Source organism: Homo sapiens, chromosome 14 (genome assembly GCF_000001405.40).
Source record: "Homo sapiens chromosome 14, GRCh38.p14 Primary Assembly".
Classification (NCBI taxonomy): Eukaryota; Metazoa; Chordata; class Mammalia; order Primates; family Hominidae; genus Homo; species Homo sapiens.
This window is the reverse complement of record NC_000014.9, coordinates 65825465-65851075: the sequence shown is the minus strand read 5'-3', so window position 1 is coordinate 65851075 and position 25611 is coordinate 65825465. Positions and strand designations below refer to the sequence as shown.

The 25611-nt window shown below is 45.8% G+C and overlaps 3 annotated features.

The window, feature by feature from the left end:
- Positions 282–457: a silencer, noted in NCBI's record as "fragment chr14:66317337-66317512 (GRCh37/hg19 assembly coordinates)". NCBI's record gives its function as "represses an EF-1alpha promoter that drives an FKBP-Casp9 reporter gene in an ReSE screen in HepG2 liver carcinoma cells {active_cell/tissue: HepG2}" and the evidence as "EXISTENCE:reporter gene assay evidence [ECO:0000049][PMID:32094911]".
- Positions 12140–12641: an enhancer, noted in NCBI's record as "H3K4me1 hESC enhancer chr14:66305153-66305654 (GRCh37/hg19 assembly coordinates)". NCBI's record gives its function as "activates a minimal SCP1, AML or CMV promoter by ChIP-STARR-seq in naive H9 embryonic stem cells {active_cell/tissue: H9 hESC(naive)}" and the evidence as "EXISTENCE:reporter gene assay evidence [ECO:0000049][PMID:30033119]".
- Positions 19612–20130: an enhancer, noted in NCBI's record as "H3K27ac-H3K4me1 hESC enhancer chr14:66297664-66298182 (GRCh37/hg19 assembly coordinates)". NCBI's record gives its function as "activates a minimal SCP1, AML or CMV promoter by ChIP-STARR-seq in naive H9 embryonic stem cells {active_cell/tissue: H9 hESC(naive)}" and the evidence as "EXISTENCE:reporter gene assay evidence [ECO:0000049][PMID:30033119]".

Below are 25611 nucleotides of genomic sequence, written 5' to 3'. Positions count from 1 at the left end.
GTGCTCCCACCCAGAGGAATGGCTAATTGGCAGAAGGTCAGTGCATTTACCTAGAGTCATTCCAATCCGTCCGAGAGGCAGGAAGGGCAAGGAAGGAGTGGCTGGATGACACACTTTTATGCAATCATCTGGAAATCTAATTTGTGGAACAAGTAGCCATCTGTTCCATGGGTGATGTGCCAAAGTACCTGCCAACAACAGAACAAGCTTTCTGCTGTTCGGGTAACTAATTGCATCTATGGGACCAACACAGCATGAGACTCAACCCGTGGAATATGATCTCCCACTAAATTACCACTTTTGCTTCGGCTTTTCTTGGGGAGCCAGTATGCATACTACAGAGTCTCTGAAACAGCAGCAGAGAAACAGAGAGGCTGGGCAACCCCGCACCCCCCAAAACGGGATAGGACAGCAGGTGTCAAGGGTAGCACGTTCCTGGAGCTGTGCAGGAGACTGCGGCTTTGCTCTAGTTTCTTTTTCCCTTCTGAGAAACACGGAAGTCTGACTCAGTATGAAGCTGGGGAGGGTAGTCAGGGCCTAGAAGTGCTAAGTTGCTATCAGTGATTCCTTTTATGCCTTTTTCTTTTCTAAGATACCTCATTTAGAAACTAGAGGGAGTAGAATGTACTGGAGGTAAGAAATCTGTGTCTTCACCCCTATCACCACTGATGGCATGGTGGCCAACAGTTGCCTTGTTTAAAGTTTCAATGGTAGGTTCATCCAGTTACATAAACTCCTCATAGAAAATGACCTCTCGTTGTTTGGTATCACCCACGACAAGCATTACCCTACAGGAAGCAAGCCAATAGCAGGTGGATTCTCCTTCACTTTCTGCACCCGCTATCCCCAGAGCCCCGTCCATAGGCAAGAGAATCTCAAAGAGCCTAAGCAGACTTTTTCCTAGGTTTTCGTACTGCTTGATTAGTTATCTAGGAATGGATGGCTGGATCCATATCTATTCTGCCTCAAGAAACTTAACCCCAAACTCTTAGTGACAGTACATTTTTTCATCTCTGTTTTTCTTTTTTTAAAGAATATATCAGCAACTTCAAAAATGTACCAAGAATACCAGTTGTCATAGGGGCCTTAGTATCAGCTGCTTTGGCCTTCCAGTGGACTGGGGACAGGTCTCTCATCATATACCTGGCTGTCTGCTGGGCTCTTTCCAGTCTCTCATTAAATCCCTATCATGCTGGATTGGCTCTGAGCATTAGTGAAAAAAACACTTCCTGTTTTCCTGACAAAGCAGAACCTAGCACACTGCCCTTGTGTGATGAATACTTAGCGATTATCTTAGTGCAACCAAGAGGAAAAAAACAAGGGATTTAACCAGCAGGAGGGGAGTATGCTTAGCACTCAAGATGCTAAGCTGCTAATAATCAGTGTGAACCAAAGGTACTTCTGGCTGTCTGGTCCTCCAGGGGTCGGTGAAAGGTGTTGCATCAAAACTGCTGCAGAAGGCAGCTCCCTAACAGGCAGAACAGTTATTAGGCTGGGCCCACTATGAAAAATAAATAAGAAGTATTGGAAAGGATTAAATCAGCCTTATAGAGATGTCTCCATTAGCCACGGGAATAAAGGTTTCAGGTGGAAACCTCAGCATAATCCCACAAAACAAAGTATGATACTTAACAGTCACTTATGAAATGGATTTTATGAGGTTTTTGGTGTTCCATTTTTTTAATTTAAGAAGCGACTATAGAGTACCTTCTTTCTGACTGTATTTTGCTTAGAACTGGGAACACATGAGCCAGATGGTGGAAGGAATGTTGGCCAGGATTCACAATTCAGTGTCACCTCAGAGGTGACATGAGCCCCAAGAGCGTGTTGGTAAATGTCTAACAACTAGCTCTACCATAAAAGCCCTGATTTGTAGTGTTTGCCACTTTTAGTAGTGTAAATGTTCCCGCCACAGCTGGTTTCATGGTATCAACATAATGTTACTGAACACAGTGTTGGAAGAGATGAACACAGATAGTAGTATTTCCAGACAGATTCACCAGGCATAACAAAGAAAACCCAAGAGCATAGACAATAGTAAAATACAGCCAAATCATTAGGAAGTCATGAGTTTTGAGTACCTATTAGCCTTGTTTTAAATGTAATTTATTGAAGTGTGAGGTTTTTTTTGTTTGTTTGTTTGTTTTTGAGACGGAGTCTCGCTCTGTCGCCCAGGCCGGACTGCGGACTGCAGTGGCGCAATCTCGGCTCACTGCAAGCTCCGCTTCCCGGGTTCACGCCATTCTCCTGCCTCAGCCTCCCGAGTAGCTGGGACTACAGGCACCCGCCACCACGCCCGGCTAATTTTTTGTATTTTTAGTAGAGACGGGGTTTCACCTTGTTAGCCAGGATGGTCTCGATCTCCTGACCTCATGATCCACCCGCCTCGGCCTCCCAAAGTGCTGGGATTACAGGCGTGAGCCACCGCGCCCGGCCGAAGTGTGAGTTTATATCATTTAATTTTGAATACTGATTCTGGTTCACAAAATGCCTGAATATTGAACAAACCTTTGCAGGCTTGTATGAGCCAGACCCCACATACCACTGTATCCACCAGAACAGAGGCTGAATTCAGGTGACAGAAACCAGGAGACCCACCAACTTTGGTGGGACCTGGACTCTTACGACTACATTCAAATAAATTAATCACTTTTCATAAAAATTGATATATCAAAAAAAAAAAAAAATGTCAAGGAACACCTAAAATGCACTTGGATGGCTTAGTCTACCATTTGAAACAAAACATTTGTCAAGCCTGTAATCCCAGCACTTTGGGAGGCCAAAGTGGGTGGATCACAAGGTCAGGAATTCAAGACCAGCCTGGCCAACATAGTGAAACCCTGTCTCTACTAAAAACACAAAAATTAGCCAGGCATGGTGGTATGCACCTATAGCCCCACCTACTCGGGAGGCTGAGCCTGGAGAATCACTTGTACCCAGGAGGCAGAGGTTGCAGTGAGCTGAGACCGTGCCATTGCACCTGGGTGACACAGTGAGACTCCATCTCAAAAAAAAGAAAAAAAAAAATTATCAGTAAATTTCTCGTATTGGCACAACATTGATATCTAAAGGCTTTCCATGAAATTCAATATGTAATAGAAATTACAGTACTGGAAAATTGTGCTCAAGTGACCAATTATTAATAGAACTCTAATTAATCTTAATTCAACTAAACTTAAAACCTTACGAGATTTTAAGAATAATAAAAAATTTTTTTAGGATCTCTTAACTTACATCTCATTCTCAATATTATTGACTAGGTTTTTTTTTTTAAACTATGCCTTTTCGATGTCTCTGAGAGTATCTGATTGTTGTTTTTGTACAAAGGGGAAAGGTAGGAGGCAGTTTCCTCTCCAGGAGATGTTGGGCACAGATATGTAATAACTAAACCACAAGGCAGAATTGTCTGTTGCTTTAGATTCTACGTATTTGAACTGTAAAGTGTCTTTCAACTCTGAACTCTGGGAATCTACATTTCTATCGGAAGGGCCAAGAAATGCCTTTCTGTCATGTGTGAGCTGGAAGAGTTTGCTTTGGAAACTCTTTCCATCAGTGATGAATTGTGCCTCCTCTGTGTGGTTCTACTGGGTGCTGGAGATGCACATACACAAGTCCATGGCAAGGTCTACAAAATTCTCATACACCAGGAGAAATTCACCCAAAGAGTTCATTTCAGCAGTGTTCATAATAGTTAAAAAACGAAAACAAATGCATGGTAAGGTACTGATAAGCTCAAAACAAGCACTGCCCTGGGCCTGCTTCCCACAATAGCCTCAAGGTCTTTCCTCTTCCGCTCAGTCATCCTCAGAGGTGGTAAGACTTGGTGAGAGATCTAGAAAGAAACCATCAGGTGAAGGCCGTGTTTTCTATGTCAGGAAACACGTGATGCACAGTCTCTTGGAGACAAAGTAGAAGTAGAAATGTCTCTGGGGACAAAGTAGAAGCTGGTGATATGAAGCAAGTCTCCAGGAATTATGTGCAAATGATGAATTTCCCAACCCTGTACCTGTAAGAACTTCAAAATTTCCTGGGCCAGGTGTGGCTAGGGAATTATTCAATTCCATAATTCCCATGTGGGTTCTGTTGTCTCCCCGCCCACACTTTCCTTGAGTCTGTCTTTTGCCTCTTCACTCACCACTGTCCACCCCCATTCCTGAGAAAAATTAGGTGTCCAAGTCCCTAAATCTGGTGCCACTTCCATTTCCACACATCCACCTTTGTTAAGTTCTGGCGAAGGAAATTACTTTAGATCTTTGTTCAAAAGTCATATATTTCAAATATAGTTTTACGTGGTGAAATTCTACCTTAAGCTGGCATTTATTTGACTCATTTTTCTAACAGAGCAAGGTCTGGTTCAAAACAGCAGAGTGAGCTGATTCTCAGCTAGTAATGGTTGCTAGGAAACCATTCTGTGGCAAATCAGAATCACATAAGCTCTGACTTCCCCATCTTGTGAACTCCTATAGAATTAATGCAGGCTCTACTCATTCAGTGATGAATCAGTACTGCCCAAGGATATCTCTTCTCTCTTACTGTTAAATTGTTATTTAATAATTAACTTTTATCTATAGTTTATGTCTTAGCTTTCCAGTTAGTTTTTAAACTTCAGAGGATGAGTCTTTTAGCCTGTGTATTTTGAGACCTCCACTTGCAAATGCCTAGTTGGCAGGGCTTAACCAATATGCACTGATTGTATTTGAAGGCAGGTGGTCATGTGGAAGAAACACTTCCAGATTGGAAAAAGAACAGTCTGGTACTTTCTACCAATAATTAAATGAGTTTTCAAAGCTATTTTCTTTCTTTGGCTTGTATGTCTGTTTTCTGCTCTTAAATTTGAGGCCACAGAAAACTTGGTGGAATATTCAAGAAATGGTTATATGAATTGATGCAATTTCTTTAGAGAACAATTTGGTAATATTTGTTAAAGCTGGACATACATGTAGGCAAGTCTATTGCTAGGTGCATAAAATTCTCATACACCAGAAGAAATTCACCGAAAGGGCTCATTTCAGCAGTGTTCATAATAGTTTTATAAAAATGAAAACAAATGTTAATAAAGAAGAATAGATTAAAAATGGTGGGCTGGGTGTGGTGGCTCACGCCTGTAATCCCAGCACTGTGGGAGGCCGAGGCAAGAGAATCACTTGAGGTCAGGAGTTCGAGACGGCTTGGCCAACATGGTGAACCTCGTTTTTACTAAAAATACAAAAATTAGCCAGGCATGGTGGCATGTGCCTGTAATCCTAGCTACGTGGGAGGCTGAGGTGGGAGAATTGCTTGAACCTGGTAGATGGAGGTTGCAGTGAGCCAAGATTGCACCACTGCACTCCAGGCTGGACAACAGAGCAATACTCTGTCTTGGGAAAAAAAAATTGGTGCCAGATTCCTACAACAGCACACTACACTAATATCATTCTATGCTACACAACGCTATATCACTCTAGGCCATACTAATAACAGTTAAAATGAGCTGGAGTTACATATGTCAACATGGTACATCACTGGGCAAAACAAACCTATTTGCAGAGAAATGCATATCATATGATATTATTTAGATAAAGTTTAAGATGTGTTATACCAAATTGTGTGTATGAATATAATACATAGTAAAAATTTACAAATACTATGTTATGGTAATAAAATCACTAAATTCAGTAAAGTGGTTGCCTTTGGGAAAGGGGGAAAGAGGATGTGTTGGGGGACTACACAATTTTTCCTATAATGTTTTATGAAAAAATATATTTGAAGAAAACATAAGCTGGGTGTATAATGGCTATATTATTCACCACGGGTTTTTTATGTTTTATATATTCATTTTCTTTCTGGAAATTTGTTTTAGGGTGACAAAAGGCCCATGATTCTTTCACTTGGGCAGATCACTGCACAAAGCTGGCACAGGAGAAGATAGTTAATTTCGGTTCAGGTATTTGATTCCTGCCAAGTTAGATGGATTCTTCTGAAGTTCTGTCTACACACTAGAAAGCTCACATGAATTAGGTCTTTTAAATATCAGTTATAAAACAAAGGGAGGTCAGACAATGAGGCATGATTTTTTAAATATAGTAAATAATAATCTTTGTTTTGCCTTGTCTGAATAAAGTTAATTATAAAAGCAATATATCACTTTGGCAACTAACAATGCCTAGAGCAATGGCGCCAAAGCTTTAAAAAGCGTAAAAATCACCTGGGATGCTTGTTAAAATGCAGATTCCCAAGTCCCACTCCCTCCCCCACCATGATGCTGAGACAGTATAGCAGGGTTGAGGCCCTGTCATTTCCATCTTTAGCAACCACCCCAGCTAGTTCTGGTGGGTGAACAGGGTAACCATCGAGTAAACTGGGACTCTCTCAGACAGATAGCCCTACCCATGAACCAGAGAACGTTAGTGATTCTGATTACGAGAACACACTGCGAGCATTGCGGATGTAATATAAATATTAGCCAGTAATTATCTGCTTGAAATTTCAAATCTACAAAATTATCACACACAGCATCCATTCATTCACCAAATATTTACTGAATGTCTATTATGTGCACAGTATTCTTTTGGTCTTCCTTCATTCTACTCTGTGACTCTCTTTACACATATACATATGTATATTTTCACATAAATGTGATCAAAAAATTCATCATCTTGGCTTTCGCTTTTTTTTGCCCTCAAAGTCACACTGATGTGCCAGGGATACATTTTTTCCATGAGGTCGGCGGGTAAGTGTAGTAGTTTTGTGCTTAACCACCCTTTCCTACTCTCCTCCTTCTTCCATCTATATTAGCCACCCCTCACCCAGATAATCTATGTTAACACCTTAATACGTACCCTTCAATATATTTCTTTATGCTCATAAGATCTTATAAACATAAAAGCACAGCATATTTATGTGTACGGATGACTCAGTGTAATAACAGGTATGGTCTCTCTTCTGGGAGCTGACCATCTTTGGAAGGAGACAATGCACATTTACAAGACAAAGCGGGGAAGCTTGCACACATGGCACAGTGCCATAGCAATACAGTGAAAAAATAGATGGAAAAGACCTATCAGCATGAGGGTTGCAGCTTATGAGAGGCAGAAAATAGAAAATGTAAGGGGTCATCAAGAAAATCCTCACTGTCATGGTCTCCACATGGACCGCTTGAATCAAAATTAACTCAAAACCCAGATGCTATGTGTACTAGAGACACATCTGCCAAGTCAAGAAGGAAATGTCTCTCCCTCAGAGGACAGAGCTGAGGGGAGCATCCCTCCCTAAGGTGGGGTTCCTGGACCCCAGGAGCATCGTGGGCCTGGAGCCAGGGGAAGGTCAGGAGAGCAGAGGCACCATATTCAACTGAGCAAATGCCACAGTGACATTTGCAGGCACAATCATGTAAATGTTATTTACTGTGAGAAATGCATTTCTCAGGCAGATGCTTCCCACCATCTATTCACTTGGCTGCCTCAGAAAGAAGCGATTCTTTGCTCAGCCTCCCAGGTGGGTGTTGGTGTGTCAGGGGTCCTGGGATTGAGACTTGGCAGTCAACCTACAGGTGTAGCTAAAATCCTCCTCTTGGCTGGTGAAATGGGCTTCTGCCCCAGGAGTGGCAGGGCCTGAACTTGTAGCCTTTGAAGGATGCATCAATCCCCTCCTTCCAGGTCAGCCCCATGACTCTACTGAGAAGGGAAGTGAGGCTTTGGGTAGAAGCTGCTGCCTTGGTGAAACCAGCATCAGAGCTCAGGGATGCAGCAGGGTTACAAAAAGATGAGAAAGTGACACAGAGACAAACAAAGCAGCCAAACAACAAGCAGCCGGGGTCTGTGAGGCAAAAGGAGATTGCTGCCTGTTCAAAAGCCCTCGCTTCTCATTGCCTACTGGGCAGCCCTATTCATCCAGCATGACTTTTATGTTTTCAGTCCCCTTGGCAGAACAGAAATGTAGGGTCAGAGGCTCTCCAGTCCTTGGCTGGACCAGGTATCAGGTGGAAAAATAAAGTCTGCTAAACAAAGAAATCCACAGCATGACTTTCAATGCTACCTGGGCTGGCCCCATACCATTCAATGGAAACAACCAGAACCCACTAGAATCCTCTGAGAAATATATTTGTTGCAGTCCTACCAAAGTAAGGTGATAAAGTTTAAAAGCCACTGCACCTGGAATTGAATACCTAGAAAGGCAGCACAGTGGAAAGAAAATGAGACATCAGTGGTTGATATTCCAGCCCCACCACTTGCCTATAGATCCCTTAACCACACTGAGCCTCCATTTCTTCATTTGTAGAATGAGGATATTAACATCCTCCTTTTTAACTCACCTGATGGATGTAGGGATTGTGCGTGGCGATGACCACTACAGCATTTTTGAAATAGTAAAGGTTATATCATGCTAAGGTATTTATGGCACTGTTTCAGATCTTCTGCTACTAAAGATTTGAGAGACCCCGATGATGAGGTCTCAGGAGAGATGTACAACCTAGGGACATTTAGCGAGGACACCCAGGCAATGCCTAATTACCTGCTAAACATGGTAGAGAAAAAATGGCCACAGCCGTTCAGAAAATCAAGTGATGACTGGTCTATGGGGTATAGTTTCAGAGAGGGGTTGGGAGTTGAGTCAGTTCTTGCAAATTTATATAATGACACCGTTAAAGAACCCAGATAAACACAAAGCATGTAGTGGCTTTATTAGAGGGTAGAGAGAAGTTATCTGTGCCCCCAAGTTGGCAGGGTATCTGTGAAGCTAAGCCTACATCTCCCCCTTATGAAATGGCCTCTAGATGTCTTCTGCTGACCCCACTTACCTTTTAGATGAGAGATAATGAACCACAAAAGAGCCCTCCAACCCCTCATTTCCTCATACTCCTTTCCTTAGGTTTTTCCTCCAAGGCCCCAATGTTAAGAAAAATGTTCTACAATTAAAAATTCAAGCAGTAATCCAGGCACTCCAATCTACTTTGTAGGACAGAGTGTAAATGATAGAAAAATAAGTGTATGTCATTACCTTTTCCCTACTTATTACTTATTCAAAATATAAATGGCTGCCAATCAGCTCTTCAGATTAGCATGAGATCACCAGTGTCACCGCACTGAACTAATAGGATAATCCTTTCTTTAAAAGTTTATTTTTGTAGAGATGGGGTCCCACTGTGTTGCCTAGGCTGGTCTCGAATTCCTGGGCTCAAGTGACCCACCCACCTCAGCCTCTCAAAGTGCTGGGATTATAGGTGTGAGTTATCACACCAAATTAATAGTATCATTTTAACCAAAGAGCAGAGAAACTTGGCATTTTTGTTAGTAAATACATTATCTGTGTAAATGTACAATTTCCAAGAGATTTTCTGAAATACTGAAAAGAGTTCGAATATCTGATGGGACCTGAAACCTCAGATTTTTAGGTTGGCAATCACTTTTCTAGAAGGTAGTTTATAATCCACCTGCCATGACAAGGAAGTTAAAAATAAATTGCCTTGACCAACTTTGAGGCTTAGAAGTGAAATGAAGGTGACCAGAAAAGCATCCACGCTGTTCATCTTGGCTCTTCCTCCTTATTTCCCGCGTGCTTCAGAGCGGGACCCTCCGCCATCGGCCCCGTGGGTTTCTTCCAAACGGGACTCAGTGGTGGGCCCTCAGCCATGAAAAGCTCTTCACTCAGAAGAAGCCTGGACGTGTACTCATTGGTTGTCAGGAACTGTTCAATTGCCCCACCCCCACCATTAGCCCTGCTACCCTCATTCCCCAGCCACGTGCCTCACTTCATCTCAGCCCCAGACGGGAGTCCATGCTGAGCTTCTTCGAGGCCAGGGCATCTGGGCAGGAAGGGAAATGGCTGGACCAACCCCTAGTCCAACCCATTCATTGGGCTGACTTGCCCAAAACCATAAGGCTCACTGGGGCTGAACTGAGCCTGGCATTGGGTTTTCCTGCCTCCTAATCCAATTCCCTTTCTGTTTCTTCTTTGGAAGGCAGAATTTGTAATGTATTGGTGTGAAATAAAACTAATCTCAGAAATTCCACCATGGTTTTCACAAAGCAGTGTTGTAACAACAGAAGGTTTAAGGCCTAAGGAAGAATACTGGAAAATAAAACTTGGTGAGTAAGAATGCACTGGACCATCTCCAGCAAACATCAAAACAGAAAGTACTCTGAATTCCAAAGACTGGTATCCATAAACCAGGCAGAGAGATCTCTAGAGAAGAGTTGTTTGCCAGTGGAAATGTCCTTTGAGCAACTTCCCTATCTGCCATGTTGTGTGGTCTCCTGGGCAGACCACCTGCCAGGAGGATTACCATGCAGGTGGCTGGAACGGGTCCCCCTGTATACTAACATCTGCTTGTGGAGGTCTTGAATCCTCTTGTGAGATCAATAGGCATTCTTTCCCTGGGATCAATCCCCCATAGATACTCTGGTAACAGAGCTTCTGAATTCCCAGCACCAAGACCCAGCCCTGAGGAGCAAACTCGAGAACAGGGCCAAGGCAGCCCTTCAGCCGCTGTCTTCTGCAAGCCTTATCTGCACTGGGAGGCCCTTAGCACCAAGGACTGGGGAGGGAGGCAGCAGACTGCAGGGGGTAAGGGTGTGAGCTTTGGTGCTGGGAGTCTGGCGATAGCTGTGTGATCCAGCAAGTAGCTCAGCCTCTCTCAGTCTCAGGGTCCCCATCTACAAAGCTTGGTGGGGGTATAATAATAATACCTATTTATGAGGGTCATTGTGAGGATTAAATGGTGCTTAGCATGGCAGCTGGCACATTGTAAACACTCCATAAATGTTTGCTGTTGCTATTAATACCAGGCAGGCTTCCACCACGTTGCTTTGGCAAGGACACTGCATTGCGCTTTGCAGTACTCAAAGACAGCCCTCTCTTTTCAACACTCTGTCCTTCAGCACCCTGGCCTGGGACCTCCGGAGCCCCCAGGATGTCATTTGCCTAGACTTTACAGGACAGGATCAAAGGACATCCTGCTAGCACAGTGGTATTAAACCCACATGACCAGCCCATGGGCTTGCCTGTCTCAATGGGGGACTGGAAGCTTAGAACTTCAATTGCTTATAAATGGCAACAGATCAGGAAAGCAAACCAATGCACCCTCTGTCACTGTGGTTATTCCAAGAAAAGGAAATCCTCTGATGGTCAAGGGGGAGTCCTTGATGCTAACCTCTGTTCTGGCAAATCCCAGGGTGCGGGGAACCAATGCGTTGGAGATCCAAGATGTAATGGGAGAAGAAGTGTGATTGAGGACTGACCCAGGCTCTCCCATCTCTTCCTCTCCTCTCCCAGAGGGAATTTTGGTTGGAAAACATTGATTTAGCATCAAAACGCTGGTTTAATGAAGGCTCCTAGAGAGAGCTGGGGCAGCTGTGACTCCACAGCCCTCTCAGAGAAAGGGGAGCTGACAAAAGGCCCCAGAGCATTATTTCCTGTTACTTTCTGGAAGCTTCCAAAACAGTCAAGCAATTATTTATTTGCAAAACTCAGGAAAAAAAAACAGAGAAAGAGAATTTCTAAGAAAACAGGATTCCTTCTGCAGAAAAGCAGGAACAAGATGAGCTAAGAGCATGGAGGGTACAATTAGAATAGATGATCTGTACTTTACAGAGGAGGAAACTGAGGTTGAGAAAGACAAGGCATGTTTCCCAAGATCACAGCCAAGCAGAGGCAGACATGAACTAATAATAGAAATAACAGCAGCCACATCTGTCTAGAGCTTCACACATTTCAGTCTTGGTATTCAGGGCTTTACATGGACCTTGAGAAAGTTATTTAATCTCTCCATGCTTCAGTTTCCCCATCTATAAAATGGGGATGATAATAATAATGCCTATTAAAACTTGTAGGGTTATTGTAAGGATTTAAAGAGTCCACCCTGTGAGGATATTAGAATAGGGCCTGGCACATGGTGAGTACAATCTATGTTGGTTCTTACTATACTATGGCTATGAAAATCTTTGTCATTATTACCTTCCTAGGTCAATGCTGGGAAGGAGTGAAGATGTTGTAGTCCCTCAGAAGGTCAAAGCCTGTGCCTAATTCAAGGATGAAGGCAGTGCCTTCACCAGCTAAAGTAAGCGTGGTTGACATCTCTGGTAAGAAAGCCATCATGACCTCCCCAAGAGGGCAGGAATGTCACCTGCCAAGAAGCAGGGGGCCCCAGCCATGCAGCAGCCACCCCAAAGCCACTGCAGGCAGAGGAGAAGCCCTGCCTGGCCAGAGGGAGCCGGCAGCCAAGGAGGCGATGAATGTGAGAAAGGCCAAGGCAGATCCTGCAAAGAGCAGAGCAAGGAGGAGGAGCCAGAGGACTGAGACTTAGAGGACGGACAGTGGGGAGGAAGTGGCAGATGACCACTTCCTTCTGGAGCCAGAGGGACCAGAATTGTTGCTGGGAATGTGGCCAGTGAGGAATCTGGATGCTGAAAAATTCTGCAAAGATGGCCAAGGTGAGTTTTAAAGGAAATTCGGGCAATTAGTATAGGAGTCCACCTTTGTTCGTGAATGTGTATAGTGTTATAGTGTTTATTAGGATGTTGCTTTCAGCACACATCTCTGCAGAAAGTTGCTCCTGCTATCTGTTTCAGCAGCCTGCTTGGGGATGCATAGGATGCTAACCGGGTTAAACACTGGGTGGGAATGATTGGTCCCTGAGGCCCAAAGCACTCTGCATCTGTGGCTGTGGGAGCCCTCATGTTTCAGGATCAAGCCTGGCTGTGTGGCCCATTTCAGTCTTCAAGACATGGAAGATGCTCTAGCAAGCAGTAGATAAGCCCTTTGCACCAAGGTTCTGTACCAGAAACTTTCCTCTGACACCATAACACCACCTGGTTGCCTGGCAGGGACTGGGCTGGCCCTAGAGAACTTCAATCACTTATAAATGGCAACAGATCAGGAATACAAAAAACAGATCACTGATAACAGAGCTTTCCCTCCCTTGCTCTGTCATCTAGGCTGCAGGGGCAGTTAAGGGGCATTTTAAGGAAAACAACACGTGGGGCTCCAGCATGCAGGAGGGGGTTTCTTGAGCACATCTGCATAGGCCATGTTTACATGTCTGCGTCCGCATACCAACAAAAAGCCAGTGTCCACAGAGATAAACCATGGATGTTTGTTAACTGGTACCTGGGTTTTAGGTCTTTCCCTGAACTTGGTTAATTGGGTTGGGGAGAGGGTCCTACATTCACCAGAGTCTTTTAATGCGTGAAAGTAGATATTTTCAAACAGGCAGGGAACAACTAGACTTAGGAGGATAAAGACAAAAACCATTTGTCCTGTGACAGGTTCAACATACAGGCTGCCCTTGTCTTCTGTCTTCCTTCCTGTGCTCTCCTCCTCTGCTTCCTCTACAGACCTTCCCTGGATGATTTGTCTAATCAGATGCTTCCTACCATCACCTGTAGGTCCATGACTCCCAGAGGGATATTTCTAGCTCTTCTTCTTTGCTGATCTTGGTCCCACTCTTCCCAACTTCTCCTGACCATCCCCCAGCATAGTGCTGGCTTCTCCAGCTCAGTATTCCAGAACTAAATTCATCCAGTACCCCTCTAAAGCCTGCTTCTCCTGAGGCCCCTTCCTCTGCTGGAGCACCATCATATCTCAGCTATGAAATTCAAGCCGTCTGATCTCTCCCACCTCCCAGCCACCAATATTCCAGGAGCTTCCCAGCCCCTCCAGTTCTCCCCTCCAAGGGGCCCTTGCTTCTGTCCTCTCCTTCCTGCTCCGTCACTGCTGCCTCCCTAAGCGAGTGCTTCCTCTTTTCCCGCTAAACAGCTGCAATCCTCTCGTCACTGGCCTCCCAGGCTCACCTATGCCCTGCTCCATCCCAGTTCTTTCCAGATTCTGTTGGCAGATTAACCATCCAGAAGATCTTGTTTGATTATATCACCTCTTCAAGTGGGAAAAAGAAGACTGTTTTCTCCCGTCATTGTCTCCAGAATAAAATGCTAATTCTTTAGCCTTCATGTGGAGAAAGGGTTTGGAGCAGTTTTCCTCACGAGCTAACTCCAAAGCATTATTGGTGGCTGTGGAGTGCGCAGTGTGGAAAAGGACCCCAAGGCTCTCTGCGGAGTGAGTGGAAAAGATGGCCGGGATCACTGGCCATGTCCAGGAGCACGGGACACCCATGCTGCCTACAGGCCACCCCACCTCTCGGCCTGCCATCCCTCAATCCCCCATTCTCCCTTTTTCACCCTGAGAGCTCTCCAATCTTCTGTGCTAAAATAACAGAATGCAGCACTGCTCTCCAAACCTATCCCACACCTGCTGCGGCTGTGTGTGGTTTGTGCCGTCTTTCCTCCTCCACCAAATGTACTTGCTCTCACCTTAAACTACACAACCAATTTCTCAAATCTAATCTGCTCCCTAAAATTGACCTTATGTTTCCTGAGCTGAACAATATTCCCTTAACTCCTTAACTGGTGGCCCCTCGCTGATGTCACCCCTCCCTTTCCTTAAGCAACTTAAAAGCAGATGCTGTGTGGTTTGTCCAGTGTTTCACACATGGTAGATAAATATTTGTCAAATGAATGAATGGATACTCAATTGTGATATGTGTCCCTAAGAAAGGCACCATCTATCAGTTTTTTTTTCAACTAGGTTAATAATGCAAGTATCACAACCAAACCATTGACCAATTATCAGCAATCAAAGCTGTAACAGAACTGCGAGCGAGTTCTGGCTTACCTGCCCCTCACTGTATTCTAAACCCTGGGAACTTTATTGTTAAACATTCCAGTCTCTTCTCTTGCCTGGCTCCCTAGGAGCACATGTGTGGAGGATAACTGAACCTCTCCAGGGCTTGTACTCTACTGAGGCAGACAGCGGAGCCTTGGAGAGTTGTCTTGGCAGCACGATGCCATTTGGGGAATTTATGCTGATTTTTTTGCAGATGGCATGTTGTTTTAGTTTGCCTCCTACAAGTTCACATTCATTGTTCTCCCTCTGGGTTTCGAAGACTCAAAAATTGGTTGACTCAGATCGCCCCCAAAATAAAAGGAAAAAACACATATCCTGGGTAAACACACTCCAAGGCTGGTGGTGGATTTGGATCCTTGAGCACTGAGTTAAGAATGAATCACCTATTGGTGTCCTCTGCGTATGACCCTGATTGGCAGAGCCCAGTGGTCCCCTCATCTGATTGGGCATCAAAGACTACTAGAGAGTGTTTTTTATATTTTTTTCTAAAATTACTTGTTGATTTCTGGCACCTGTCCTGAGATTTTGATTTAGTTAACCTGGGAGGGGGCCTTAAAATACACATTTAAGAAAAATATTTCCGGGCAATTCTGGTATGCAGGTATGTTTGGAAGCCACTAGGAGAGAAGAGGAAACGTGTGCAGAACAGGGTGGTTGTAAGGCCTGAGGGAGCACTGTACTTGCCCACAGGGCCTTGGAGCCTGCACAGGAGGCCTCTTGCTGGTCCTGCTGGGCTGGGGTAATTTCCTTCAGGGTGGTGGTTCTCCAAGTTAGTGTGCTAGAAGCATCCAGGGCAGATTACTAAACCCGTAGATTCCCAGACCCAGTCCCCCTGGTTCTGAGGTGGTAGGTTTGCAGACTCAGGAGTCTACATGTCTAACAAGTCCCCCAGGGGAACCTGACGCAGGAGGCCAAGCACCACTGAGAGGAAACCCTGCCTCTACAGACTGGAGTCCAAGCCTAGCTTTGGGGTGTCCCATACCAGCACTATGAGCCTTTGGAGATGGCCCACGTGCCCCACCTCCTGCTTCAGCACACAGAGCAGGCTCCCTAACGGATGGTGTCTTGGTTTCTTGGCATTTACAGGCACACAGTGAGCTCTCTGTTCTGAAACATATAGGAATTCCTTTGCCTAAAAGGACAGATAATGAGACCAGCAACAACAGTCTCTCTCACATGCTCATCAGAGGCTGCACAGCCCACAGGCCTCTCCAGGAGGTGGTGAAGATGAGGGAGTGAGGGACCAGCAATGGGACCTCCTGCATCCTCAAAGCCAGACCAGCGCTCCCTCCTCCACACGGCCGGCTCTCTTCACCACCGCCACAAGTGGGCTCTCCTTACTTTGCACACCTGAAAATGAGTTATCCTCTTCTTAGAGTCTTTGCATTACCTTAATAATGGTGGGTATTCACCTAGCCAGTCAGTATGGGGCATCACTGTAGGCAAAACCAGGCCTGTCTTGCCTGATATGCCCAGCCCTCTGCCGTGCCTCACCCTCACCCTGGGCCTGCTGTGGACAACAGTCATTGAGCCCCACCACTGTGAGCGTTAGGTAGCACAGTGAGGGTATGCTGGTTGTCATGGCAACTCTCCCCCTCCCCAGTTTCTAAAAGCCTGGCTGCAGTTGGAACCAGCCCATTTTAGCTATCCGAAGTAAGTTGGCTTTCCAGCGATGATGCCACAGTCTCCTTTAGCTTCCATGGCCCTGCAGATGGACAAGGAATCTTGGAATCCCTAGTAACAACAGACTCCTCCAGGGTCAGTGGACGGATTCTGTGTGCCCATTGCTAAGAATGCACTTGGCATGCTTGATGGGAAATTTAGCACTTGGTTCTATGTTCCCACCAAAGTGGAAATTCCACTGATGCATGCTCCTTCTCTGTGTGTGTGTATCTTAGCTATTGCTGTGTAACAAACCATCCTGAAACAGTGATTTGAAACAGTAAACACTGATTATTGTTCACAAGCCTACGTGTGTCTGCAGTCAGCTGAAGGTTGCAGTCAGCAGCGTTTCTTACCTGGGCTGGTCTCACACAGGTCGGGGGCCGGCAGGCTGTAAGAGGATCTATGATGTCCTCAAGCTGGGACAGTTGGACTGTCCTCCATTCTCTATTCTTCCAGCTGAGAATAGCACTGTGCTGGGCCTGCTCTCAAGGTGGCAGGATTCCGAAAGAGTGGAGCAGAAGTGGGCCAGGCCTCCTGAGGCCCTGGCTCCAAACCATCCTTCCTGCCATGCCTGCTGGATCCAAAAAGGTAACAAGACCAGCCTGGATTCAAAGGCAGGAGAAACAGATTTCTTCTCTTCCACGGAGAAAACTGCAAAGCCACATTTTTAAAAAGTGTATATAGGGAGGAATCATCGAGGCCATTTATGGCCAACAATTTTTCACAACGTGGAAAGATGAAAAGGCACAGGGACTCACTTTGCAGTATATTGCATTACAGGAACTAATTTGTAATTATATTAATGCCTTTTAAGTGAGTGGGTGAATGAGTGAATGAACGAATGAATTTTAGCCCCTTAGACCTGGAGTTAAGTGCTGCCGTTCTGTCCCCACCCCTGCATAGTACAGGACTTCAGTGGAGATGCCCGAGCCGCTCTGTTTCTATCACAGATTTCCATTGCAATTGACAAACCTTTGATTCAGGGCTTTCCCAAGGCCAGCAGCGCGAATTGAGGTCAGCGAGAATGAGGTCCAGACGTTGTAACCCAATGCCAGCAAGATCCCGCAAACAACACAGAGCCCAGCAGCATAACAGGACTCCTCCCTGGGGCTTTGTAGCCCAGAAGTTGCTGAGCTTGAGAATACACAGAGATGTCCTTTTTAAAAACAAGTGGCACCAATGAGCCAACAAGGGAACGTAGGATATAAATATGAATTGTAACTGGGAACATAATCCTAACACTAGCCCCAGGAGGGATGCTGTCTTGAGTTGCCAAGCCAGCAGGTCAGGGACAGGGAGGGGCTCAGGACACTTCTGTACCCTCTGCCTCTCCCCTCAACCACAGAACCAGAGACTCACAGCGTATGGTTTTTAGTTTGCACTCTTTCACCGCTGACTTTTGAACAGTTGCCTCTGTATTTTGGGTTAGAACTTGAAATGTTCCTTGTTCCCAGTGTGGATGAAGGTTTTTAATCCTGGGGACACAAGATGGCTCCATCTAAAAGATACAATTTCTTAGTGTGCTGAGTGGCAGGCCTCAGGGGCCCTGCAGCCACCACACCCTCCTGTATGCTTGGAAGCGAGCTCTTCTGCTCACCCACTGTGATCCTTCACCCAGAGCCCAGCTCAACATCTAATGGAATCCGACAGCGGGAATCTCTTGGTTGCATGTTTCACCAGCTTCCTGCAGCTTCCTTAGGATCTACACAGCTCTGAGTCTAGGCTGCTTATCTTTTTCCTTTCTAAAAAGCCAGCAGGGGGAGCAGCAAAGCCCCCAGCCTTGTGTTTATTGTTTATTTTTAACACGGGTCTCCTGCATACATTATACATAATCCCCTCACCCCCAAGTTACTGTGATCAATTTGTTCTTCTTAAAAGCGAAACTGTGGTTAAAAAAAAAAAAACAAAACCCTAAATACTAAATAATTAACTCGAGGACATCTTCCAAGAAAAACACAGTAATTCAAAAGAGTAATCTTCCACTTGAACGATTTGGGCCTCTATTAATTATAACTTTTATTCACTGTGATTAATGATAGCTAGGATGACATTTAGAAAAGAAAGTTGAGAAAGAGTAACAAGAGGAAGCTCATCCTCGTGATCAGATGTAACCATGGAACAGGCTTTCCCCGGGGAAGGGCCAGGACTTCATTTCAGGATACTTTTAAAACCAGGCCTACCAAAGCCTGGGAGAACATGCTAGAAGAAGCAATTGTCCTCCAGAGAGAGATTAGAAATGACCTAAATAGTTACTTACACCTCTGCTTTCTGAAGTAATTAACAGCTGCAATAATGGGGGTGACAACAGCAATAACAAATACGGCACATGTTCTGAGAGAAGATTTAATTATTTTTAAAATAAATTATTGCCACCTGCTTAACAACCTGATAGAAAGAAGCCACCGATGAGCAGGTAGTAATCGAGTTTCATGCTGGGAAGCCTTTCTTCCATATTTCTTTTTTTTGTTGTTGTCATTTGTGTTTGTTTGTTTGTTTTGAGACAGAGTCACGCTCTGTCGCCCAGGCTGGAGTACAGTGGCGCAATCTCGGCGCACTGCAACCTCTGCCTCCTGGGTTCTCCTGCCTCAGCCTCCTGAGTAGCTGGGATTTCAGGCACCCACCACCACGCCTCGCTAATTTTTTGTATTTTTAGTAGAGATGGGGTTTCACCATGTTGGACAGGCTGGTCTCGAACTCCTGACTTCAAGTGATCCACCCACCTTGGCCTCCCAAAGTGCTGGGATTACAGGCATAAGCCACCATGCCCAGCCCCATATTTCTTATTTGAATCTATTTTTTTCTCTATGGCTACATTAATGCATAATGTGGATCACCTGCTAAACCCAATACCAAATGTACCACATAATTCAGATGACAGCCTATAATTTAGGAGGAAATCCTCCAGAGACACAATCTTCATTATCTATTAGAACATGTTACCATTCCATGCCTTACCCAGAGTGGTGAGGAACCGTTGGTATCTCAATGCCACTGAGAATGAGATGCACCAGACCTATCTGGCATTTAACAACAACCATTGCAAATAAACAACGATATTTACATGACTGCCCCAGAGCTCAGCAGCTCCAACCCCCACCCAGTTTCCTTGCAGGGTCTCCAGGCTTTGCCTGGTTTCTGAGGGTCCCTTGCCCTACGGCAGCCTGATGAAGGGCCAAGACCCCAGGCGGGTCCCTTGAGGGTACATGCCCCAGCCCTGCCCTACCAGCCCCTCCTGAGGGATTCACTTACTTAGGCACCACCCCTGCCGAGACAGAAAAGCAGCCAGGGTCTTTGGAGACAGGAGCAGTGTTCAGGGCCATGGTTTGCTCAGAAGCATGGCTCACCAGCCGCCTAGCCCAGCCTTCCCCGGTTTAGCCTCTGCCGTTGCAGTCCAGGCTGCAGAAGGCTCCACCAAGGGCTCAGGATGCACCCCCGTCACGCATAGCTCCTTCTACTCAACACCTGAAACCATCAGCCTGGGTCACTGAGGGCAGGGCCACTCCAATCTGTCAATGTGGATGGGGATCTACATTTTGGATCACCTGCTAAACCTACCATGGCACATGCCACCATTCACGTGTAGGTGGCCAGGAGATGGACACCAGACTTGGAAGTTTGGGAGCCTCTGCCAAGATCCTACTCAGCCCAGAAGCAGTGGGCACGCCCTTCCTCCCATCATCTCTTCAGTATTGACCCTAAGGGGGTGGCGACCAGGGGCTCTGCCCCAGAACATCACGCTCCACCTGGGTTCCCTGGGATTTCTGCAAGATCCTCAGGGAGAGGTGGGGCTAACCCATAACCAATCTTGACTTCTTATCACTGGTGCCTGGGAGCTCAGAGACATATTTGATTTTTCTTTAGAACAAATTAAATAGTGTGACAGCCGTTGTTTCTGAATGTGGTAGAGAAATTAGGGGAGATAAGATATTTATCGTCACCCATCCATGGAGTCTGAATCCCAGACCTGAGTACAGCCAACACATCCCATTGCACAATGACAGAGGACCTCCTCCTAGCTTCTAATTATTATTTAGAATCGATACTGTTAGGGGTCAGAAACCAATACCCCAAAATCTGGCACCTTGACATGCTGAACTGAAGAAACGGCCTCTAGGTCTCTCTGGCCTTCGCCTCCCTCCTGTCTCTCAATCCTCTCTCTCTCCCAAAGCACAGGAGGAAGCTGCTCTCTGAAGTTCCCTCGCCTGCTATATTAGTCCATTTTCATGATGCTGATAAAGACATACCCGAGACTGGAAAGAAAAAGAGGTTTAATTGGACTTACAGTTCCACATGGCTGGGGAGGCCTCAGAATCATGGCAGGAGGTGAAAGGCACTTCTTACACGGCAGCAGCAAGAGAAAAATGAGGAAGATGCAAAAGCAGAAACACCTGATAAACCCATCAGATCTCATGAGACTTATTCACTACCAAGAGAACAGTATGGGGGAAACTGCCCCCATGATTCAACTATCTCCCATCAGGTCCCTCCAACAACACCTGAGAATTATGGGCGTACAATTCAAGATGAGATTTGGGTGGGGACACAGAGCCAAACCATATCATCTGCCTAATGTCCAGAGCCACCAAAGAAGAAAAGAGTTACTTCCAATCCCTTCCCGGAGTCTTCATTAACTGAACTCATATCACAGGAAGAAAGACTGAAGTCTAACAGACTTGGACAGACTTGACACAAACCATGGTCTGCTCTGTGGGCCCAACAGACTTTGTCCCAGGTCACTGTATGTTCTTCAAGCCCATTGAATTCCCCTAAAAATCATTTACTGCCCCTCTAAAATCATCCACACTCCCCCATCTCCCTTTCTCCTAAGAAAAAGGGTATACAACCATCCGTACCCCTTTGTGAGGCAGACATAAGATAATCCCTTTGTGATCCCCCCCAATGCATGTTAATAAATTTATATGCCATTTCTCCCATTGATCTGCCTTTTGTGAGTTGATTTTTCAGTGAAGTTTCAGAGGATGAAGGGGAAGCTTTCTCTTGGCCACTACGGGAACCATGCAGCAGGTGAAAATTTGACTCTGCCTTAGTGACCCTGCTGCCTTCCCTCCCCATTCCTGTCCTCCTGGGTGGTCCTCAGCTGGGTCTGGGTGAAGGTGGCTGGAGAGGGCCTGTTTCAGCAGAATCAGGAGATACATTCTGGCTTGAACTCCAATCCTTCGTGCCACGTCTTGCTCAGAGTGGGCTCTCAGTGGGTACTGAGTGATTTCTTAGCCAATTTTTCTTTCCATCTTTAGAACCAAAATCGAGCCCCCACCCTGTCCCCTCCAGAGGACTAGCCCAACTCCATCTTTTCTTTGTTGCATCTGCATGTCCAACTGCCCAAGTCCCTTGCTGGGCTACCTAGGCTGCATTAACTGATAGTTGCTCTTATCCCAGTTAATAGGAACATTTCTAGATATTCTTGCCGTGGTTTGTTATTTGTTGCTTGTTTCCTCCAGAAGGGTAAGAACCTGTCTTCTACTCCTCTAGCATCTCCAGCTGATGCCAGTTTAAAGGCAGTGCTCTAAAGTCCCAGGGCCACTTTATGTACATGGCAGCCCCCTTGCAAGAATATAGTACCTGGAGAATGGAGCTAAACCCTCACTGACTCCTTGTGCCCTCCTCATTCCATCTGCCTTTCCACCTGCTTACAGCCAAGGTTATACCATCTCCTGATCCAGGTTTGAAAGGAGTTTGTGAAATCAAAAGTGCTTTAAATCAATATTTGGAGGATAGAACCAAATTCAGGATTGGAAGCAGCCAACCAGCTTTAGCCTATTAAGGCCCGACTTGCTTGGTTTGGTTCTGTACGTAAACAGTTTTCTCAGCTGGGATGGATTTATTGCCCTGCCAATGACTTCCACAGCTAACCAGACCAACCTCTGAATCTCTTTCTGCTTTTGGGTCCCACCAAGGGCAAAGTCCTTCCTATGAAAAAGAGATTATCTCCTTTACCCCCAAAATCATAGCTCTCCTCTGAAGCCAGGCATCTCCTTTCCCTTTAATTCAATTCTCAGGCTGGGATTTCTTGCCAACCCATTTCTCCAAGGCCACACACTGCAGGGAGGAGAGATGAGTCTAAAGTAACACCCAGGCTCCCTAAAGATGCTTTCAATGCTTCAAATGCTAGCATCGCAGGGAAGGGAGAGGCAAACTAGAAACTTCAGTAATTAGATTTCCTGGAATTAACTCACACATTCCATGCTGAGCAGTCAGGGTAAGCAATGCATCTTCAGCTCATCAGCATTAATTAACGGCCGTTCTTTTACACCTGACCCATTTATGGGAGTAAATCCCAGGTGATACCGTGTAGCCACCACACACCTGTGCCTTTTTAAACAGCTCCTAGGCCTCCAGGAAAGGCATCTACAGCTAATTGAGCCCGCCCTCCTTTCTCACGATAGTCAAGCCAAGAGAAAGAGAAACATACTCTTGTCAATTAAACAAACAAAAGGGAGAGAAAAACAAAACGCCACCAGCAGATTTCACATCCTATGTGCCCAGGAGGATGCCGCCACCCCAGCTGAGCAGATGTAGGATGGCTGGTTGGTGCTGTTCACCTTGTCCTCCTCTTTGCCATCCGCCCCTTGACCACCTTGAACTGCTTTGCCAGCTGCCTGCACTGATTCCCTTTCAGGAGATGGCTCAGCAACCAAAACGTGCAGTGTTTTGGTGCTGCCCTGCGCGCACAGCAGACGCTCTGTGGATGTCCGGTGTCTCAGCAGCCAGTGGGTTGCATGCCTGACATGTTATCTTCCGGCCGCCTCTGTTGCTGCTTCATAGTTTCTGATCTGCTTTGCCTGTTCCTTGTATTCTATGTTCAATCTTCCCTTTACCACAAGTTTTATCTTCTCCCAAAGAGGTGGGGGTCAGTGGGGGTCATCCTTTTCCCATTTCTATGGCAAAAATCCTGCTTGTGCAGTGAGAAAGTAGCTCCACCTCCAGGTCAGGCCCAGAGCATGTCTGACCAAGTGGAGCACCCACACCTCTGGACTCAGTGATTGGTTCACTTTGGGGGTGATGTGGGTGTCAGGGGAGGGAGGGGAATTTTCCTTCTGCTTTGTGGGAACTAAGAACCTTGCAAGCGCGAAGTTCCTCAGGTGGGGCGGGGTGCAACGTGGCAGATATTTACCATGTGCAGAGAAAGCCAGAGAGCCACCCTGGGAAGAAAACTAACACTGGGGAAGACAGACGGAGCAGAGGGTTGGAGAAAAAGTGGTGCAGGGGAGCGAAAAGTGGTTTCTTTCTACTCTTCTAGGTTCATCGGCTAGGCTATGAATTAAATTGACATAAGACAGCGTAACAGGAGAAAAGCCACGTTTAATTATATACATATGCATGGCAGTCCTGCAGAATAAACCTTGAAGACGGGCCAAGTGATTGAAGCTTATGCAGCATCCTGAGCTACAGAAAGGAATAGGGGCTTGGGGCTTTGGGGGGTGGTGGGGACACAAGTTATGGGAGCGTGAGGGGAGGAAATTTGTGCGAATAAAGGCTGTCTTGTTATGCAGATAAAAGTCTCTCCGGTAACAAATATTGTCTCAGGAGCAGAGGTGACAATCTGCCTGGGCTGGTGCCAACCTCTATTCTTCTTTCCTGTGAGCTGAGTTAATCTTCCCCAGTTGAGAAGATTCCCAGGAGGGGATTCATGACAATTGAGTTCCTTTCGGAGGATCCGTCTTTAGGCAGATAAAGGGGCTCAGAGAAAGTCTCTGCCTGCATCACTGTTTCCCAAGTCCCCTGACTTCAAAGTCATCAGCACACCACAGTGGCATATTTGGGGCTGGCATTTCCAGAACGCCTTCAGTGGGATCCTGAAGATATCGTCTGAGTGCTTGAATCAGGGAAACCTAAATTGAAGGCTTTCCTGAACATTTCTGTTCCTCAAGCCAATCCTTTATTTTTTATGCTTAAACTAATTGAAGACGGAATTTTGTCACTTGCAACTGCTGCCTCACTAATGTGTCTTCTGACCTAAATCTTGGAGTCATTTCTGTATTATTTAAGGTTCTTTCACTTGCAAGTAACAGCAACTCTATTCAAGTTAACTTATGCCAAAAAGGGGAGAGAATCCTAAGCTGCAAAGAAAGAATATGGGTGCAACTGGCCCTGGGGACGGTGGCACTGGGGCATTCTTTCTTAGGCAGCCACTCCTGCCTCTTCCCTTGGTCTGCACATCCTTAAAAGACTGCTTCCTTCGCTACCAGAGATCTGGACTTGCGCCCTTATAGACTCATGAAGAAAGCACAGTTTCGGGGAAGGACTCTGCCTTGCTTTGTGTCTGTCCCTGGACTCACCCCTGTGGCTGGGGAAGAGCAGCTGTGACTGGTCTCTTCTGGGTCACACATGCACCCAACAGGGAGGAAGGAGAGGTCTGTCGCCAGAAGAAGGTAAAGGAAAAAGTATAGGCAGTGGAAACAATACTCACCCCCAACTTCCTACCTCAGAGGTCCAGTGAAACTCCTCCCGAAAGCATCCCTGAAAAGCCCCATTCAGATTGCGGGCATCTGGTCATTTCATTCACCCGGCAATAAATCACCCTCGCAATTTGTGTCATTGAACTTTTTGGAGAATACTTTTGGAGTGTTAAAATAGGATTGACTTTCTATTGAAAGCTGTAAACATTTTTATTTGTAGCTTAATTTTTATCCTCGTGTTGTTTGACAGTTTCTCCTCAAGAGGGGAAGAAGCAGTAGGAGTCTGTTGGCAAAGCACTCCATATTGCTGAGCAGCAAGTAAACCAGCAAGCATGGCGCTTCCAGCTGCACACCGTCTCCTCTGAGACCCAGCTACAGCCATCCAACTGAATGACTTCTTGCCTTTTGGCCTTCAGAGTGCATGTGTGCCCGTGCGTGTGCACGGGTGTGCTTGGCATCATGTGTGCATCTCTAGACAATGAGGAGTGTGGAGGGACAGGTGAAGGATCAAGGCAGGAGGTACAGCCAACTCAAGAAATGAGGCAGGAGAACAATGCACAGTTCCCCTTCTCACTGTGCACGTTGACCTATTTGTCACAGGCTGAAAAGAGCTGGGAACATGGTGGAAGGCTCTTACTTGTAAATGTCGTTCAGACTTTTGAATGGATCTTTTAAGATCAGGAAATGGGATCCATAGTTTACAGGCTTTGTTAGCAGCCAATTTGTTCTACTTGATCCAGAGCATTTAGGCAACGCTACCAAAGAATCTCCTACCAATGAGTTGTGAGTGTTCTTGTCAATATTTTACACATTAACAAGGATCCTAGTTAGAATATGAAGTTAGACATGTTTCTTTCAAGGGAACACGTTACAA